We start from the raw sequence: 4427 nt of genomic DNA, 5'->3' as shown, positions 1-4427 counted from the left end.
GCACCGTGTTCCCCTCTCCCCTGGGTCCTTGCACGTGTTCCCTTTGCCTGATTAACTTCTACTCATCTTCCCAACTGAGCCGCGTCATTACTTTCTCCAGGTAGCCTTCTCTCATCCCTTTCCTTTTCACTCCCCAGATATGATCTGAATTAGACACCCCATTTTTGTCTGTGGGGCACCTGATGCTGATACTTCCCTCAACACATACTGTGCTGTACTGAAGGCATGCTGTCACCGTGTCCGTCTCCTGGACTGGCCACTGATCCCCAGTCCTGGTCTCATTTACAGCTGCATACCTTGTACCCACCACAGGGTTGGGCCCAGGGCCAGCGCTCAGAAATGTTTGTGGAACATGAGTGAACCACGTCACAGACTAACTCTGTGAGTCCACACACCCTTTTTCACCCTGGAAAGGAAGACAGGTCCCCTTCCCTCCCCACATCCCAAATCTCCTTCCTTCTCCAGATGGCAGTTCAGCCACTCCCAGGGTTTTGACCTTGATAAGCCAGGTGGGTGGGGTGGGGCAGGGGTGGGGGTGCCACCACGAGGTGATGTAGAGAACGAAGAGCCTTAGGGTGGGCACCAAGTGGGTCCTGAGGCCATCTCCATTGCAAGGCTGGCCAGGTGGGTGGTTAGAGCGGGTGCTGTCCAAGGGAGGTGAGGATGGACAACCCACTGGACATGGAGGCCACCTGCTGGGGACATCACTTGGGACACCTCCCAGGGCTGGGCATGTGGGAAGCCCGGCTCCCTTCAAGGCCTGTGTGAGCTCTTCCCTCAATAAGTGGAGTCCAGAACCCGCTGCTGGGCCTGGGCCAGGCTCCCTACAGGCCTGGGACCTGGTTGGACTTCAGAGGCTTGGGAGTTGTGTGGGAGAGCTCTTCTCCAGAAAGGGAAATGGGCAAAAGAAATGTCCAAGACCAAGCTACACAGGAGGAAATGTTTGTAATGAGACCCACCAGAAAGACTGCTCTTGGGGCGACAGGAGAAAACAAGGCTGCTTGGAGACTGGGAATGAAGGGGACAGAGAAGGTAGAGGTGTTTTTGGGGAAGAGGGCCCTGACCAGCCGGCCCTCTGGTTGCTGCTGTCCCTCCCTCCCTGGTGGCTATGGGAGTATGAGGCCTTGGGAGATCTGGCACCACTGGTCCTGTAAACATCCAGTCGCCTCTGCTGCAGTTGCTCCTAAGGAAAGGGAACCCGCAGGGATTTGCACAGTCTGGCACCTGCCAGTTTCCTCTCCAGTGTCCCATCCCCTCACCCTCTATTCCTCTGCCCTCTGAACCCACTGGCTTACAGTCCCCAAAACAGGCCTATTTCCTTCCTGTTTTGGGTCATAACCATGAAGCCTCTTCCGTCTGTTTGCCTGGCCAACTCTTATTCATCCTCTGGGTCTTATCCACAGAGAGCTTTTCTGTCCCACCTCCACAGTCTGGTCCTTCCCATTCCTTACTTTTGTAGCTCCCTTCCTAGAGAGTAACATCATTAAACACATATCTCTAGGGTTGGATTTGACTAAGCTCCAGTCCCTGCAGGTCTGTGAGTGTCACAGAAAACAGGTGTGTGCCTGTTTTGATGCTCACTGTAACCTCATTACCTAACACAATACCTGGCAGAGGCTGAATATGTATTTGTGGAATGAATGCATTTGCTCTCACCTTGATTTTCATGGCTGGCTCTTGAGTCAGGGAATGGATTGTGCCTGTACATCCGTCAGGATTCAGTGCCTTTTGTCAGGGGCATTGTTCTTTCGGGGCCAGGCCAGCCCTGGGTCAGTGGATGCTGTGGCAGGCCTGGCCCTGCCTGGTCAGTATCCAGCCCCTAGACCATGAGGGAGCTTTCCTTCCTGGGCATCTTTCAGCTGCAATACCCAATATCCTCCACACCTGCCTACCCTCCCCTGGCCAGCTCAAAACTTCAAGCTTCTGCTTTCACAAGAACCGTCCATGGTGGAGCTGCTGGCCACAGGCCTGATTAGATCTCTTTATCTGCTCAGCTCCAACGGCCCCAACTGAGACAGCAGGGACTGGCCAAAGTGCGGGGCCTGAAGGGCCTGCTTCTGCTCCCAGGGCTTCCTGAGAATGAGGTCCTTGGCCCTATTTTCATGAGAACACTGAGGGTGTGCAGGGAGGAGGGTTCTGGCTCAAACTGCAGTGGCCCCACACTGTACCAGAGGCTGAGGCAGGCCAGGAGTTTGTGCACATGTGTGCATGTGTATATGTACACATGTGTACATGTGTGGTCCAGAGATGAGGACTCTCCTGACCAAGGAAGCTCTCAGTCCTCTGCCTTTAGCAAGGCTGAAGAAAACTCAGTTCGGGGACTTGGAGAGCTGGCCTGGGGGTCTGGCACCACTTCTGACCGTGTGACGTTGAGCAAGGGCTTGGCCTCTCTGATCTGCTAGTAAAGTCACTAAAGGGCAAGAAGAAGATCGCGGGGGCAGGAGGGCTCTCTGGTGAGCACTTGGGAGGTGCACAGGTCCACACTAGAGGGCCAGCTGAGGGCAAGCACCTGTCCCCTCTCTCCTCCCTCCTGCCTTGGCCTGATGTGACAGTTTGTACCTCACCTCCTCCATCAGACTAGGAGCTCCCAAGGGCAGGGCCTGGGGCATGGGAGAGGGTCTGTGGGCTTGCAGAAGAGACAGACCTTGCTTTAGATCAATGAAGTAACGAGTAGGAAGGCTAGTGGGGCATGTGACCCATGGGGCACTGCCAGTGTGACTGGAGCCCTGGTAGTGCTGGACTCTAGCAGGAGGGGGCACAGCTGACCGGGGCAATTCCTTGCCCCTCGCCTCTTGCTGTATGCCAGCCCAGCGCCCTGTGCTTTACTGCTCTTGCCTGAGTCCTTATAACAACCCTCTGAGGCGGGAGCTGCTGACTGGGACTTGTTCGATGGTTGAAGCAGAGAGAAAAAAGAATGAGTCATGATCTTGGAGCCAGGAAGGGGATCGCAACCTGAGACTAATTCTAAACCAAGTTCCCAGATGTGACCCAATGGAAGGAAGCCACCTCCCACAGGTTGGGAGGATGCCTCAGGCCTGAGCAGGCCAAGGCGGGCCTGGTTTCCCCCACAGAGTCTGACAGGCCGCACTGGCTGCACCAATTGTACTGACTCTGCAGCTGGCCAAGAGGTGTTTCCTGGGGCCCCCTCCTGGGTGAGCCACGTGGACTAATTGCTTCTGTCCTGAGGAGGATAGAAGCTACTCAGAAGCAGGGGAAGCAGGAAAGGGGAAGGAACACAAAAAAGGTAGGGGCTGGCAGACGCCTGGGAGAGAGGGCTGCACCCTCCCCCAACCTCCCTTGACCCGCACATTTTTTTTTCAATTTTTGTTTTTTTTTTGGAGAAGGAGTCTCACTCTGTCACCCAGGCTGGAGTACAGTGGCAAGATCTCAGTTCACTGCAACCTCTGCCTCCTAGGTTCAAGCCATTCTCCTGCCTCAGCCTCCCGAGTAGCTGGGATTACAGGTGTGCACCACCACGTCTGGCTAATTTGTATATTTTTAGTGGAGATAGAGTTTCACCATGTTGGCCAGGCTGGTCTCGAACTCTGGCCTCAAGTGATCTGCCCTCTTCAGCCTCCCAAAGTGCTGGGATTATAGGCGTGAGCCACCGGGCCCGGCCTGACACATTTTAAATACAAACCCAACACAGTCTCTCCACGAGAACAGGCCCATGCTGCTGCATTTTTGCCTCTTAGCATCTCAATACACCTAGAAAGAATGAAGGCCTGAAGGTTATAGGAATCTAGACACCCTGTTGAATGAAACAGTCTCTTGCCTGGGCACTCAGAAGGCTCAAAAATGCAAATCAGCAATTTAAAAAATTATGCAGTGCCCCACCCCCAAGTCCCCAGCCACAGCTTCCTCAGTGTCTCTCTGACAGTGGTGGTGAGCATGCGGGTGGTGATCTTGGCAGTCCCAACCCCTCGGCAGCCCTGGAGATGGCTGCAGTCAGTGCCCAATGTCAAGGGCAGGAATTCCACTAGCTGGGGCTCTTCGTGCTATGGGAGGGCTGCTCTCTCTCTCCACTCCCCCTCCTATGGTGTCATCTTCTGGTAGGTGTCATGGGAAAAGGAGAGGCTCTTCTCGCCCCTTCTCACTGTCCCTGGAGAGTACGTTAGCCAGCCATGAATGTGCCACTTGATATTGCCTATAGTCCCCAGAGCAGACTCTCCTGGGTCTGCCACCCATGCTGGGCTCTGGGCAAGAGCCGGCCTTACTTTTCTTTGTGTCTATCTGGGCAGTGGTGATGGTTCTGAATGAAATCAGACCTCATGGACTTGAATTTAAGATGGGGCATGGAATTATTTCAGAAGAGATGGAGCCCAGAGCCTCCCCAATGTTCCTCCCGGATGCTACCCAATTCCTCAAAGCTTGTTGGGTTGGTGGGTACACTCCAGACCTGGAAGATCAGAGAAGTTTGACCTGAA

At 54.4% G+C, this 4427-nt stretch overlaps 1 annotated feature.

Annotated features, from left to right (window-relative positions):
- Positions 2717 to 3310: an enhancer, noted in NCBI's record as "H3K27ac-H3K4me1 hESC enhancer chr17:56261589-56262182 (GRCh37/hg19 assembly coordinates)". NCBI's record gives its function as "activates a minimal SCP1, AML or CMV promoter by ChIP-STARR-seq in naive H9 embryonic stem cells {active_cell/tissue: H9 hESC(naive)}" and the evidence as "EXISTENCE:reporter gene assay evidence [ECO:0000049][PMID:30033119]".

Source organism: Homo sapiens, chromosome 17 (genome assembly GCF_000001405.40).
Source record: "Homo sapiens chromosome 17, GRCh38.p14 Primary Assembly".
Taxonomy (NCBI): Eukaryota; Metazoa; Chordata; class Mammalia; order Primates; family Hominidae; genus Homo; species Homo sapiens.
Note: the sequence above shows the minus strand (reverse complement) of the source record. Positions and strands in the feature narration are given on the sequence as shown.